The 14,888-nt window shown below is 51.2% G+C and overlaps 1 protein-coding gene across 5 annotated transcripts in view, besides 6 other annotated features; it reads left to right on the top strand.

Annotated features, from left to right (window-relative positions):
• The window catches only part of ACOT7 (acyl-CoA thioesterase 7), a 129,496-nt gene that overhangs the window by 20,459 nt on the left and 94,149 nt on the right, over nucleotides 1-14,888 (top strand). The window contains exon 1 of one of the 5 annotated variants that reach the window (XM_047443399.1): nucleotides 12,432-12,451. The exons of 2 other annotated variants lie outside the window; for them this stretch is intronic. Coding sequence is in view for 2 of the 3 variants with exons in the window: in NM_181865.3 (NP_863655.1) it covers nucleotides 12,657-12,739 (83 nt within the window). In the remaining variant the exon portion in view is untranslated. Of the gene's footprint in view, nucleotides 1-12,431; nucleotides 12,452-12,594; nucleotides 12,740-14,379; nucleotides 14,484-14,888 lie in introns of those variants that run through there. 2 more of the 5 variants (NM_181865.3, NM_181866.3) reach the window with 2 other exon arrangements.
• Nucleotides 4,810-5,590: an enhancer, noted in NCBI's record as "H3K27ac-H3K4me1 hESC enhancer chr1:6427779-6428559 (GRCh37/hg19 assembly coordinates)". NCBI's record gives its function as "activates a minimal SCP1, AML or CMV promoter by ChIP-STARR-seq in naive H9 embryonic stem cells {active_cell/tissue: H9 hESC(naive)}" and the evidence as "EXISTENCE:reporter gene assay evidence [ECO:0000049][PMID:30033119]".
• Nucleotides 8,263-8,762: an enhancer, noted in NCBI's record as "H3K4me1 hESC enhancer chr1:6424607-6425106 (GRCh37/hg19 assembly coordinates)". NCBI's record gives its function as "activates a minimal SCP1, AML or CMV promoter by ChIP-STARR-seq in primed H9 embryonic stem cells {active_cell/tissue: H9 hESC(primed)}" and the evidence as "EXISTENCE:reporter gene assay evidence [ECO:0000049][PMID:30033119]".
• Nucleotides 13,202-13,251: an enhancer, noted in NCBI's record as "active region_80". NCBI's record gives its function as "activates an Ori minimal core promoter by ATAC-STARR-seq in GM12878 lymphoblastoid cells {active_cell/tissue: GM12878}" and the evidence as "EXISTENCE:reporter gene assay evidence [ECO:0000049][PMID:35858748]".
• Nucleotides 13,952-14,181: an enhancer, noted in NCBI's record as "active region_79". NCBI's record gives its function as "activates an Ori minimal core promoter by ATAC-STARR-seq in GM12878 lymphoblastoid cells {active_cell/tissue: GM12878}" and the evidence as "EXISTENCE:reporter gene assay evidence [ECO:0000049][PMID:35858748]".
• Nucleotides 14,202-14,251: an enhancer, noted in NCBI's record as "active region_78". NCBI's record gives its function as "activates an Ori minimal core promoter by ATAC-STARR-seq in GM12878 lymphoblastoid cells {active_cell/tissue: GM12878}" and the evidence as "EXISTENCE:reporter gene assay evidence [ECO:0000049][PMID:35858748]".
• Nucleotides 14,362-14,541: an enhancer, noted in NCBI's record as "active region_77". NCBI's record gives its function as "activates an Ori minimal core promoter by ATAC-STARR-seq in GM12878 lymphoblastoid cells {active_cell/tissue: GM12878}" and the evidence as "EXISTENCE:reporter gene assay evidence [ECO:0000049][PMID:35858748]".

Below are 14,888 nucleotides of genomic sequence, written 5' to 3'. Positions count from 1 at the left end.
ACTACACTCTAGCCTGGGCAACAGAGCGAGACTCCTTCTCAAAAAAAAAAAAGTTTGTGGCAACCCTGCATTGAGCAAGTCTATTGGCACCATTTTTCGGCCAGCCTGTGCTCATGTAGTGTGTCTATATCATATTTTGGTAATTCTTGCAATATTTCAAACTTTTTCGTTATCATTTTTGTTATGGTGATCTATGACCAGTAATTTTTGGTGTTACTAGTGTAATTGTTTTGAGACATCACGAACCACGTCCATGTAAGACAGCAAATGAAATTGATAAATGTTGTATGTGTTCTGACTGCCCCACTGACCGGCTATTTCCCCATCTCTCTCCCTTTTCGTGAGCTCCCTCATTCCCTGAGACACAACAATTTTGAAATTAGACCAATTAATACCCTACCTCTAGTGTTCCAGTGAAGGAGAGAGTCACACATCTCTCACTTTAAGCCAAAAGCCGGAGGCCAGGCACGGTGGCACATGCCTATAATTCCAGCACTTTGGGAGGCTGAGGCGGTTGGATCACTTGAGGCCAGGAGTTCGAGACCAGCCTGGCCAACATAGTGAAACGCCATCTCTACTAAAAATACAAAAAACTAGCCAGGTGTGTTGACATACGCCTGTAGTCTCAGCTACTCAGAGGATGAGGCAGAAGAACCTCTTGAACCCAGAGGTGGAGGTTGCAGTGAGTCAAGATCGTGCCACTGCACTCCAACCTGGGCGACAGAGCGAGACTCTCAAAAAAAAAAAAAAAAAAGCCAAAAGTTAGACATGATTAAACTTAGGAAGGCATGTTGAAAGCTGAGATAGGCTGAAAGCTAGGCCTCGTGTGCCAAACAGTTAGCCAAGTTGTGAATGCAAAGGAAAAGTCCTTCGAAGGAAATTACAAGTGCTGCTCCAGTGAACACATGAATGATAAGAAAGCAAAACAGCCTTCTTGCTGATAACGGAGAAGAAGAATTTTAGTGATTTGGAGAGAAGATGAAATCAGCCACAACATTCCCTTAAGCCAAAGCCTAATCCAGAGCAAGGCCGTAACTCTCTTCAATTCTATGAAGGCTGAGAGAGGTGAGGAAGCTGCAGAGGAAAAGCGTGAAGCTAACAGAGGTTGGTTCATGAGGTTGAAGGAAAGAAGCCACCTCCATAACATGAAAGTACAAGGTAGAGCAGCAGGTGCTGCTGGAGAAGCTGCAGCAGGTTATCCGAATCTGGCTGAGATCACCGGTGAGGGTGGCTACACAATAGGTTTTTTCTTTTTTTTTTTTTTGACACAGAGTTTTGCTCTGTCGCCCAGGGTGGAGTGCAGTGGTGCAATCTCGGCTCACTGCAACCTCCACCTCTCAGGTTCAAGAGATTCTTCTGCCACAGCCTCCCGAGTAGCTGGGTCTACAGGTGCACGTTACCACACCTGGCTAATTTTTTTATTTTTAGAAGAGACAGGATTTCACTATGTTGGCCAGGCTGGTCTCGAACTCCTGACCTCAAATGATCTGCCTGTCTCAGCCTCCCAAAATGCTGAGATTACAGGCGTGAGCCCCTATGCCCTGCCTAGGTTTTCAGTGTGGGTGAAACAGCTTTCTGTTGAAAGAAGATAACATCTAGGACTTTCATAGCTAGGGAGGAAAAGTCAATGCCTGGCTTCCAAGGACAGGCTAGGTCTGGTGACTCACGCTGTAATCCCAGCACTTTGGGAGGCTGAGGCGGGTGGATCACTTGAGGTCAGGAGTTTGAGACCAGCCTGGCCAACATGGCAAAACCCTGTCTCTACTAAAAATACAAAAATTAGCTGAGTGTGGTGGCACTTGCCTGTAGTCCCAGCTACTCAGGAGGCTGAGGCAGGAGAATCGCTTGAGCCCAGGAAGTAGAGGTTGCAGTGAGCCAAGATTGCACCTGCCACAGCACTCCAGCCTGGGTGACAGAGTGAGATTCTGTCTCAAAAAAAAAAAAAAGGACAGGCTGACTCTCTTGTTAGGGGCTTATACAGCTGGTGACTTTAAGTTGAAGCCAATGCTCATTTACTATTCTGAAAATCCTAGGGCCCTTATGAATTATGCTAAATTTACTCTGCCTGTGTTCTATAAATGGAACAACAAATCCTGGATGTCAGCACATCTGTTTATAGCATAGTTTTCTGAATATTTTTAAGCCTGCCGTTGAGACCTACTGCTCAGAAAAAAGATTTCTTTCAAAATAATACTGATCAGGCCGGGTGCGGTGGCTCACGCCTGTAATCCCAGCACTTTGGGAGGCTGAGGCAAGTGGATCACGAGGTCAGGAGTTCAAGACCAGCCTGGCCAAGATGGCGAAACCCTGTCTCTACTAAAAATATAAAAATTAGCCAGGCGCAGTGGCAGGCGCCTATAATCCCAGCTACTCAGGAGGCTGAGGTAGGAGAATCACTTGAACTCAGGTGGCAGAGGTTGCAGTGAGCCGAGATCGCACCACTGCACTCCAGCCTGGGCAATAGAGTGAGACTCTGTCTCAAAAGAAAAAAAAAAATCAAAATAATACTAATCATTGGCTGTGCGTGGTGACTCATGCCTGTAATCCCAGCACTGTGGGAGGCCAAGGTGGTTGGATTACCTGAGGTCAGGAGCTCGAGACCAGCCTGGCCAACATGGTGAAACCCCATCTCTACTAAAAAATATACAAAAATTAGTTGGGCATGGTGGTGCATGCCTGTAATCCCAGCTACTTGGGAGGCTGAGGCAGGAGAATCACTTGAACCAGGGAGGCGGAGGCTGCAGTGAGCTGAGATCGCACCACTGCACTCCAGGCCAGGTGACAGAACGAGACTCCATTTCAAATAATAATAATAATAATAATAATAATAATAATAATAATAATAATAATACTAACACTGCTCATTGACAATAGACCTGATAAACCAAGAGCTCTGATGGAGATGCACAAGGAGATTAATTTTGTTTTCGTGCCTGCTGGCTTTAGTCCATTTGTGTGGCTGTAAAGGAATGCCCGAAGCTGGGTAATTTATGAAGGAAAGAGCTTTATTTGGCTCATGGTTCTGCAAGCTGTACAGGAAGCATGGCACCAGCATCTTCTTCTGGCGAGGGACTCAGGCCACTTCTACTTACAGCAGAAGGGGAAGGGAAGCTGGTGTGTGCAGGTCACATGGCCAGAGAAGTGAGAGAGAAGGGAGGTGCCAGGCTCCTTTTAACTATTAGTTCTCCCAGAGGCTAATAAAGTGAGAACTCACTCATGACCACGAGGATGGCACCATGCCCTTCCAGAGGGATCCATCCTGTGACCCAAACACTTCCTATTAGGTCCTGCCTCCAACATTGGGATTGAATTTCAACATGAGGTTAGGGATCCTCATATCCAAACCATAGTGGATAATAGCACCTATTAACTCAACATCCATTCTGCAACCTATGGATCAAGGAGTAATCTTGACTTTCAAGTTGTATTGTTTAAGAAATGCATTTTGGGCCTGTAATCCTAACACTTTGGGAGGCTGAGGCAGGTGGATTGCCTTTGTTCAGGAGTTTGAGACTAGCCTGGGCAACATGTTGAAATCCTGTCTCTACAAAAAATACAAAAAATTAGCCGGGCGTGGTGGTGGGCGCCTGTAGTCCAAGATACTTGGGAGGCTGAGGCAGGAGAATGGCATGAACCTGGAAGGCGGAGCTTGCAGTGAGCTGAGATCGTGCCACTGCACTCCAGCCTGGGCGATACAGCGAGACTCCATCTCCAAAAAAAAAGAAAAAAAAGAAATTAGCTGGACATGGCAACATGTGCATGTAGTCCCAGCTACTCAGGAGGCTGAGGCAGGAGAATTGCTTGAACCCAGGAGGTGGAGGTTGCAGTGAGCTGAGATTGTGCCATTGCACTCCAGCCTGGGCGACAGAGTGAGCCTCCTTCTCTACAAAAAAAAAAAAAAAAAAAAAAAGAAATGCATTTTGTGGGGCTCTGGCTGCCATAGTGGTTCTTCTGATCTGGGCAATGTAAATTGAAAAATTTACATTGGAAAGCATTCACTATTCTAGAAGCCATTAAGAATATTTATAGACCAGGCGAGGTGGCTCACGCCTGTAATCCCAACACTTTGGGAGGTCAAAGTGGGTGGATCACCTGAGGTCAGGTGTTCGAGACCAGCCTGGCCAACATGGTGAAACCTCGTCTCTACTAATACAAAACGTAGCTAGATGTGGTGGCATGTGTGTGTAATCCCAGCTACTCAGGAGGCTGAGTCACAAGAATTGCTTTAACCTAGGAAGTGGAGAGGTTGCAGTGAGCCAAGATTGTGCCATTGCACTCCAGCCTGGGCAACAGAGCAAAAAAGAAAAAAAAAGAAAGTGGTTTCTTAAGATGGAATGTAGTCTTGGGGAAGATGCCATGAACATTGCTGAAATGACAAGAAAGTAATGGCAATGGTGGGCCATCTGGAGCAACCCCTGCCCTCACGCCAGGTGCAGTGGGGTGGTGCAAGCAGTGGTGGCAGGAGCAGCTGTGGGAGCAGCAGTGGCAGCAGCAGTGGCAGCAGTGGGTCCCCTGTGCCCTGCATTCCCCGGGCAGCTGACTGCACCGCCCCCATCCTTGCACAGCCAGGCAGGACCTGCTCCCAGGCCTGGAGCCTTGCCGCTCCAGACCCTGGCTCAGTGTCAGAGCTCTTACCCGCTCTCACTGTGGGGAGGGGTGTGCAGAGGAAATAGTCAGTCCCTGGAGTCTACCCCTGGGAGTCTCCCAGAGCCCACTGCCCTGGGAGCCACCACAACGGGGCCAGGCTGAGTTGCCTGCTGGTGGGGAAGCAGCATGATTGGGCATGGAGGTGCGGGCAGAGAGGGGCCCCAAGGTGGAGCTGGGCCTGGGGTGATGCTGCACCTGCATATGGAGTGTGGGGGCTGGGCCTGGGATGCAGAGCTTGGGTTATGCTTCAGGGCCCTGGGGCGGGAAGTGGGAGCGGCATTCACTTTGGGGACCTGGACTGCGGTGCAGCCACCGCACCCACCCTGCTGATGGTGCCCTTCAGACTTTGGGCACCAACAGGCATGGGAGGGAGGCCAAGTGGGGGCTGAGGATAGGCTGGCACAAACAGCCTGGATGCCATGAACAGTGGCGAGAGACAGACAGGCTCCTGGGTAGAAGGGGTCTGGTCCCCAGTGAAGCCTCACCTTCAAACTGGGGAGGGCCTGAAGCCTGGGGGTTGGCTGGCCAGTCCCGAGGACCAGAGGGGAAGCTTGTGGTGCTTTTTGCTGGCCCACCCATGGACCAGTCAACACACACTTCCTCCACTCTGAGGCCCATAAAAACCCCGGACTCAGCCAGACTAGAGCAGAGGACAGAAAGATGACAGGATGACCAGCTGCAAAGAAGAGCTACCCTCTCTGCTGAGAGCTGAACACTCACTGGGATGACCTGGCTGTGACTCAATAAAGCTCCTCTTTGTCTTGCTCACTCTCCATTTTTCTGCGTACCTCATTCTTCCTGGTCACAGGGCAAGAACTCGGGACCTGCCAAATGGTGAGGCTGAAAGAACTGTAACACAAACAGGGCTGAAACATGCCCCTTCTTGCCACGTTGCCAGTGAAGGGAAGGAAAGAAGAGCTGTGGCCCTTTGGGGAGTCCAGACCTGGGAGCTCCCTGAGTCAGGGTTGTGACTCCCTCTTTGGGGCCCTGCAGTTCCTGGCGTCACCAAGCTTCCAGGCACCACAGCATTCCCGTGTGCCAACCAGGCAAGCTGCTTGAGGTGCGCTTGGTCCAGGTGCAGCCTTGCAGAGAACCAGCACCTGTGCCAGCATCTGGAGCTGCCTGCCCTGCAGCAGCAGCTGGCATGTCTGACTGTGCAGTGGCCGTACTCCATGCTCACTCACACACTGCTCGCTGCTCCACACCAGGCTTGTCCTTGGCAGGCATGGGAGCTCCAGGCTGGTAGCATGAGCCAAGCGCAGCCTGCCAGGCTGAGTGGGTGGAATAAGCCCAGTGGGCCCCAGCAAAACTTAGGCAAAGGTGCCACAAGACACAGAGGTTTCTGGCCAGAAAAGGGATACCCCAAAGATCCCATAACAAAAGGATTTAGAATATTCCATAAACTTAGTTGATAAAACAACATAGGTTTTAAGAGGACTGACTCCACTTTTTTTTTTTTTTTTGAAATGGAGTCTCGCTCTGTCGCCCAGGCTGGAGTGCAGTGGTGCGATCTCAGCTCACTGCAAGCTCTGCCTTCTGGGTTCACGCAATTCTCTTGCCTCAGCCTCCCGAGTAGCTGGGACTACAGGTGCCTGCCACCATGCCCAGCTAATTTTTTTATATTTTTAGTAGAGAAGGGGTTTCACCATGTTAGCCATCATGGTCTCCATCTCCTGACCTCGTGATCCGCCTGCCTCGGCCTCCCAAAGTGCTGGGATTACAGGCATGAGCCACCGCGCCCGGCCTGACTCCACTTTTGAAAGTTCTACTGGGCTGGTCTAGGAGATCGAGACCATCTTGGCTGACATGTTCTCCCCATCTCTACTAAAATACAAAAAATTAGCCTGGTGTGGTGGTGCACACCTGTAGTCCCAGCTACTCAGGAGGCTGAGCCAGGGGAATCACTTGAACTCGGGAGACGGAGGTTGCAGTGAGCCGAGATCATGCCACTGTACTCCAGCCTGGCTGACAGAGTGAGACTCTGTCTCAAAAAAAAAAAAAAGTAAGTTCTACTGTGGGTAAAATGCTATCAAACATTGCATGCTACAGAGAAATCTTTTTTTTTTTTTTTATTTGAGATAGGCTCCCACTCTGTCACCCGGGCTGGAGTGCAGTGGTGCAATCACAGCTCACTGCAGCTTTGACCTCTTGAGCTGAAGGGATCCTCCCACCCTTAGCCTCTCAAGTAACTGGGACCACAGGCAAGTGCCACCATGAGTAGCTAATTTTTTAATTTTTATTTTTAGAGACAGCATCTCCTTATATTGCCCAGGCTGGTCTGGAACTCCTGGGCACAAGCGATTCTCCCACCTCGGGGTCCCAAAGTGCTGGGATTACAGACATGAGCCACCGTGCCTGGCCCAGAGAAATATTTTGTGGAAAGAAGGGTCAATTGATGTGGTCAATGTCATTGTTGTCTTATTTTAAGGAACTGCCACAGCCATCCCAGCCTTCAGCAGTCGCCATCCTAATCAGTCTGCAGGCCGGGCGGTAATCCCAGCACTTTGGGAGGCTGAGGTGGGCGGATCACCTGAGGTCAGGAGTTCAAGACCAGCATGGCCAACATAGTGAGACCCTGTCTCTACTAAAAATACAAAAAATTAGCTGGGCGTGGTGACGCGTGCCTGTAATCCTAGCTACTTGGGAGGCTGAGGTAGGAGAACCACTTGAACCCGGGAGGCAGAGGTTGCAGTGAGCCAAGATCGTGCCACTGCATTCCAGCCTGGGCTATAGAATGAGACTGTCTCAAAAAAAAAAAATAAACCCCAAAACAATATGAATCAGTCTGCAGCCATCAACATCGAGGCAAGACTCTGCCAGCAAAAAGAATACCACTCACTGAAGGCTCAGATGATTGTTAGCATTTTTTAGCAATAAATTTTTTTTTTTTTTTTGAGATGGGGTCTTGCTCTGTTGCCCAGGCTGGAGTGCAGTGGTGCGATCTCGGCTCACTGCAAGCTCCGCCTCCCGGGTTTACGCCATTCTTCTGCCTCAGCCTCCCGAGTAGCTGGGACTACAGGCGCCCACTACCATGCCGGGCTAATTTTTTGTTTTTTAGTAGAGATGGGGTTTCACCGTGTTAGCCAGGATGGTCTCGATCTCCTGACCTTGTGATCCACCCACCTTGGCCTCCCAAAGTGCTGGGATTACAGGTGTGAGCCACCATGCCCGATTGCAATAAAGTGTTTTTAAATGAAGGTATATACTTTTTTTTAAGGCATAATGCTATTATACACTTAATAGACTACAGTGTAACTTTTACGTGCACTGGGAAACCAAAAAAATCATGTGACTTATTATAAAGTGCAATGTGTGCTTTGTTGCGGTGATCTGGAACCAAACCCGTAATATCTCTGAGGTATGCCTGTGTGAGCCTGTGAAGCCTTCACCACAATCAAGACCGAGACTGTGAACAGACCTGTCACCCTGCTGAGGCCCTCTGCTTCTCTGGTCCCTCCCTGCCCCCAGGCAACCTCTGATCTGCTTTCTGTCACTATAGTTTGTGTTTCCTCCAAGTTTATAAACATGGACTTGCACAGTTCTCTTTTTGTCCAGCCTCCCTTGCTCAGCACGATTACTTGGAGATTCATCCACATGGTTGCATGTATCAGTTATTCATTCCTTTCCTTTTTTTTTTTGAGACGGAGTCTCACTCTTGTTGCTCAGGCTGGAGTGCAGTGGGGCGATCTCAGCTCACTGCAACCTCTGCCTCCCGGGTTTAAGCGATTCTGCTTCCTCAGCCTCCTGAGTACCTGGGATTACAGGCTCCCACCACCATGCCTGGCTAATTTTTTTTTTTTTTTTTTTTTTTTTTTGAGATGGAGTCTCGCTCTGTCCCCAGGCCGGAGTGCAGTGGCGTGATCTTGGCTCACTGCAACCTCCGCCTCCCGGGTTCAAGTGATTCTCCTGCCTCAGCCTCCCGAGTAGCTGGGACTACAGGTGAGCGCAACCACGCCCAACTAATTTTTGTATTTTTAGTAGGGATGAGGTTTCACCATGTTGGCCAGGATAGTCTCGATTTCTTGACCTCGTGATCTGCCCACCTCGGCCTCCCAAAGTGCTGGGATTACAGGCGTGAGCCACTGCGCCAGGCCAAATGCTGGGCTTTTTTTTTTTTTTGAGACAGAGTCTCTTGCTCTGTCACCCTGGCTGGAGTGCAATGGCATGATCTTGGCTCACTGCAACTTCTGCCTCCCGGCTTCAAGGGATTCTCCTGCCTCAGCCTCCCGAGTAGCTGGGATTACATGCATGCACCATCACGCCCAGCTAATTTTGTATTTTTAGTAGAGATGGGGTTTTTCCATGTTGGTCAGGCTGGTCTTGAACGCCCGACCTCAGGTGATCCACCTGCCTTGGCCTCCCAAAGTGCTGGGATTACAGGTGTGAGCCACCACACCTCGCCGATAATTGCTTTTAGATGTTACTTTTGTATTTTCCTAATGTCTAATGATGTTGAATATCTTTTCTTTTTTTCTAGAGGTGGAGTCTCGTCTTGTTGCCCAGGCCGGCCTGGAATTCCTGGGCTCAAGTGATCCTCCTGCCTCAGCCTCCCAAAGTGGTGGGATTACAGGTGTGAGTCACTGCATCTAGCCTTTTTTGAGACAAGGTCTCGCTCTGTCATCCAGGCTGGAATTCAATCTTGGCCCACTGCAGCCTTGACCTCCCAGCTCAAGTGATCCTACCACCTCAGCCCCCTGAGTAGCTGGGACCACAGGTGCAGCTGGGACCCCCTGAGTAGCTGGGACCACAGAAAACCCACAGGGTCGGTGGCTTTTCTCCCCATGTGGGGAGATGAGAGATTGTAGAAATAAAGACACAAGACAAAGAGATAAAAGACAGCTGGGCCCGGGGGACAACTACCACCAAGATGCAGAGACCGGTAGTGTCCCCGAATGCCTGGCTGTGCTGTTATTTATTGGATACAAGGCAAAAGGGGAGGGGTAAAGAGTGTGAATCATCTCCAATGATAGGTAAGGTCACGTGGGTCACATGTGCACTGGACAGGGGGCCCTTCCCTGCCTGGCAGCCAAGGCAGAGAGAGAGGGAGAGAGAGAGAGACAGCTTACGCCATTATTTCTGCATATCAGGGACTTTTAGTACTTTCACTAATTTGCTACTGTTATCTAAAAGGCAGAGCCAGGTGTGCAGGATGGAACATGAAAGTGGACTAGGAGCGTGACCACTGAAGCACAGCATCACAGGGAGACAGGCCTCCGGATAACTGCGGGCAGGCCTGACTGATGTCAGGCCCTCCACAAGAGGTGGAGGAGTAGTCTTCTCTAAACTCCCCGGGGGAAAGGGAGACTCCCTTTCCTGGTCTGCTAAGTGGCGGGTGTTTTTCTTTGGCACTGACGCTACTGCTGGAACCACGGTCTGCCTGGCAACGGGCGTCTTCCCAGACGCTGGCGTTACCGCTAGACCAAGGAGCCCTCTGGTGGCCCTGTCCGGGCATAACAGAAGGCTCGCACTTGTCTTCTGGTCACTTCTCACCATGTCCCCTCAGCTCCCATCTCTGTATAGCCTGGTTTTTCCTAGGTTATGATTATAGAGCGAGGATTATTATAATATTGGAATAAAGAGTAATTGCTACAAATTAATGATTAATGATATTCATATATAATCACGTCTATGATCTAGATCTAGTATAATTCTTACTGTTTTATATATTTTATTATACTGGAAAAGCTCATGCCCTTGGTCTCTTGCCTCGGCACCTGGATGGCTTGCCACCCGCAGTGCTCACCACCATGCTCGGCTAATTTTTTTGGATTTTTGGTAGAGATGGGGTCTCACCATGTTGCCTAGAAGAGTCTCCAGCTCCTGAGCTCTAGCCATCTGCCCACCTCAGCCTCCCAAAGTGCTGGGATTACAGGCGTGCACGACCGCGCCTAGCCAAAGGTCATTTGTTTTTTTCACATTGAGCTCTGAGAGATCTTTCTGGAGCCTGGATGTAAGTTTCTGACCCTACCAGCTTCCTCTAGCATGAGGCAGTGAGTTTCGGTTGGGGAGAGGGATGTGGCCTCCCATTCTAGGGCATGTCGTTGCGGAGTTCTCCTTGAATTCTCTCTTCCGAGTGCCCTCTGATGAGCTGGGCTCAGTGTGCTTTTGAGTTCTAGGTGCCTGTCTCATTTCCTACCTTCTTTCTATATGCTTGGCTGCCTGGGTAGGTATGGGAGGGATGGGGGAAGAGGTGCTGCCATCTCTTGACTTTTTTTTTTCTTTTTTTTTTTTGAGACGGAGTTTCACTCTGTCACACAGGCTGGAGTGCAATGGCACAATCTTGGCCCACTGCAACCTCTGCCTCCTGGGTTCAAGCGATTCTCTTGCCTTAGCCTCCCAAGTAGCTGGCATTACAGGCGCCCACCACCATGCCCGGCTAATTTTTGTAGTTTTAGTAGAGACAGAGTTTTGCCATGTTGGCCAGGCTGGTCTCAGACTCCTGACCTCAGGTGATCCGCCCGCCTTGGCCTCCCAAAGTGCTGGGATTACAGGCGTGAGCCACCATGCCCAGCCCACCTCTTGACTTTTTAGCTTCCAGATGCCTTTGAAAGCTGCAGAAAACTGGGTCTTTTCCCCAGAAAAGTAGAAACCAGACACAACCTCGAGCATGTTTTTAGGGATGCTCACAGCCTACTGAGCCAGTTCTACTTTGTTTTGGGTTAGAGATGGATGCCACATCTGCAGATCTCTGCCAAGCTGTGTGTGTTTTTCTTTAGATTTTGGGAGTGCCTTTCTGTGGCAAAGGTAAGAGCGTTTCGAGGGCTCCTGCCATGTGTCACCCACATGGCCAGTGCTTATGTAGGGAGGGGCCACAGCTTCTGGCATCCAGTTGTTAGTAGTTTATTTATTTATTTATTTTTACAGAGTCCCGCTCTGTTGCCCAGGCTGGAATGCAGTAACGCAGTGACGTGATCTTGGCTCACTGCAACCTCCGCCTCCTGGGTTCAGGTGATTCTCCTGCCTCACCTTCCCTGGTAGCTGGGATTGCAGGAGCACACCACCATGCCTGGTTAACTTTCTTTTCACTAGTGGTGGGGTTCCACCGTGTTGGCCAGGCTGGTGTCAAAACTCCTCACCTCAGATGATCCGCCTGCCTCGGCCTCCCAAGGGGCTGGGATTACAGGCGTGAACTACTCCACCCTGCCTTGTTTGTAGTTTATAACAGCTTTCCTGAGCTATAACTCTATTGAGTCTACCCTTTTTGATTGTACAATTCTGCGTGAACCTTAATGGATTCACAAGGCTGTGCAGCCACCAGCACGATTTAATTCCAGAACATTTTCATCACCCCCGGAATTAACCTGCACGCATTAGCAGTCACTCCCATTTCCCCTCCTCCAGCCCCTGCCCCCCACCAGCTGACTTTCTGTTTCTGTAGATCTGCCTGTTGTGGACATTTAATATACATGGAATCAGATGGCGTGTGACCTTTTGTGATTGACTTCTTTCACCCAGGGTGGTTTCAAGGCTGGTCCGTGCATTACTGTGGATCTGTAGGTCTTCATTTTTTATGGTCAGATAATATCTCATTGTATGGATTTATCGTATTTTGTTTACCTACCCATCCGTGGTGGACACCGGGTTGTTTCCATCCTTGGGTGGTTGTGAATAATGCTGCTATGAACATTTCTAGACATCTCGTTTTGTCAATTAAAATGATTTTTAATTTACTAGATGGGAAATAGCACCTTGTAGTTGTTTAACTTTGAGATTATTTACTCATAAGGCTAAGCTATCTGAGAAGTGCTTCCTCTTTGCGGGACCATCTGGTTGTGGCTTGAATCTGTGTTGCTGTGGAAGCCTGGTAGGTCCTCACTGATTTGGGGTGGGTGGTGGGCCTAGCACACCTGGACTGGGACCAGCTGGAAGGGTTGCTTAGGGAGGCAGCAATGCCCGCCTGGAGGGATGAGGCCAAGTCCAAAGGGCACAGTATTGGGGCCCAGGCTCATTCCTTGAGTTCCATTTGGCTGCAGCTTCTGGAGGGAGCCGACAGGAGACGTGGGGAGACGATGCTCCTGCTTCGGAGAAGCTTGTCACTAAACGTCCTCAGAAAGGAAGTCGACAGGGCCTGTTTTGGGGAGAAGGCCAAACAGTGAGTTGGGAGCTGAGAGGAACTATGGGCTATTTGGGGTCAGGGGAGGGAAGTGTGTTTGGGAGGACCTGTCCTGTGTGCCAGGGTGGGAGACGCTGTGGCTTCAAGACCCTGGCCCTGGGATGCCGGCTACTCAGGAAGATGGGCCGAGATGGGCAGCCAGGGGGCTGAGGAGGCTGATGGCCCGGGCCTGGGCCCCGGCAGGCTGCCTGGGTGGGGAGGGCTCAGGGGGCATTTTCAGCCAGGGTTAGCTGCCAGGCTTGGGCCAGACTCAGCCCTCTGACCTCCCCTCCGGGCAGACATTTTGGGTCGGTGGGATCCCTTTAGAATCCTCTCCTCTGCTGGCTTCTAGACATTAAGCATCCCTGGGCGGGGGCAGCACCAGCCTCCCTGTGGGACCCAGTGCGTGTGGGGTTTGTAAGCTGAAAATGACTTTTTCTTTCTTTTTGCACATAGGTGAGAGGACTTGTCCTTTTAGGACTTGTTATTTTTGCACATAGGTGAAAGGACATCCTTTTAGTAATAATTTACCTATTTAACTTTTACCAGAGTGACTTCCCAGGCTCAGTGCCTGCCAGCTGGTTAGATAGAATAAGCCCAGGCTCTGGCAGTTTGATAAGGGCCTTGATAAGGGCCGGCTGTTCCAGTGGGAGTGGCCTAATCAGCCCTCTCTGCCCTAACTTTCTCTTTCACAACTAAACATGTGAAACTTGCCCAGAGGCCGGCGGGTGCAGCCTGGTTGAGGCTGTGCGGCCTGCACTCTGGCTGGGGACTTTCCATTTCCCTTGCTGGTCACAGGATTCCTGGGAAAGCAGCCCTGGTGGGGGCAGCATTGGGGGAGGTTGTGGTGATAACACATCCCGCCTCCTGCACTGGGCCTCCTGTAGCCTGCACCCTGGCCGCTGTGATTGTTTGGCCTCTTTCTTTCTTCCTGACACCCAGTAGAAGGGGAGGCGGAGTGAAGAGAGTACGGGTTGGGGGGCACAGGGCCCACAGGTGGCAGCCGGCAGCCTAAGAGCCCGCGGGAGTGGAGGAAGGGTAGTGGAGTTGCTGAGCCCCAAGACAGGCATGGCATCCTCTGAAGCAGGGGTTGGGGGAAGGAAGAGGGGGAGTGGGGAAGGACAGGGGTGTGGCCTGAGGAGAGGGGAGGCTGGACCGCCTGTCCACTTTGCTTCAGCCAGGGAGCTGGCCCTTGGGACAGGCTTTAGATGCCAGCTCCATCAGCAGGATGCAGGCTTGGACCTGCTGGAGTCCTTGCTGGCCTGTGACCTTCCTCCCCTGTCTACATTTCAGGGAGCTCTAGAAGGCGGCAGTGGGGCCAGACCTGGCTTTGGCTGAGACCCTGGAGAAAGACTAGGGGGTCTTGTGCCCTGTCAGAGAAGGCAGAGCCTCATAGCCGCTTCCCTGAGGCCGCTCAGCAGCGGCCCCTCTGCCTTCCTGATCTCCTGGCATGGCAGCCAGAAGAGCTCACAGAATTACTTCTTCTGTAATTATTTATAAAGCAAGGTTTCCATGACGACCGGTTTCTGGTAGACGCTCTGGATTGGCGAGGCAGCCTCTTCCTGGCCAGATTGGGCAGCTCAGGAAGCTGGGGGTGGGGGGTGCTCCCCACCAAGCCCGGTGTGGCAGGGAGCTGGGACAGTCCTGGGTCAGGCAAGGACTCTGTGATGCTTCCCTGCTCCCTCGCCTTTCTCTGCATCTGATCCTGGGATGTCCTAGCCACCATGGCTTTCCAGCTGAGCAGGTACTGCCAGTCATGGGCATGTCTAGGCCGTGCAGGGGCCACTGTGGGTGGATTGTTTAGGGACATTTGGAAGGGAAGGGTGGGTAGAGGGGACTCGGCCCCTGTGCCCAGCAGGCTGGCTGGTGTCATGCAGCCAGGAAGGGCAGTAGGGCACCCACCTGGCCTGGCTCTTACTGACCCCCAAGATTAGGTGGTCAGCCGAAGCTGGGATAGGAAGTGCAGGCCTGCGTGAGCTGGGGTCCCCTGACGGACCAGGGCACTCCCCTGCCTGCTCTAGTCCCCAGGGAGGAAGGCACCTGGTTTTCTTTCCAGCCTTGCTCCTGTGGCTTCCCTCTGCTCCCTTCAGCTGGGCTGGGTTCACTGCGGTTTCCCAGCGCTGCTGAGCTTCCTACCTGCGGTGGAGGG

Source organism: Homo sapiens, chromosome 1 (assembly GCF_000001405.40).
Source record: "Homo sapiens chromosome 1, GRCh38.p14 Primary Assembly".
Taxonomy (NCBI): domain Eukaryota; kingdom Metazoa; phylum Chordata; class Mammalia; order Primates; family Hominidae; genus Homo; species Homo sapiens.
Note: the sequence above shows the minus strand (reverse complement) of the source record. Positions and strands in the feature narration are given on the sequence as shown.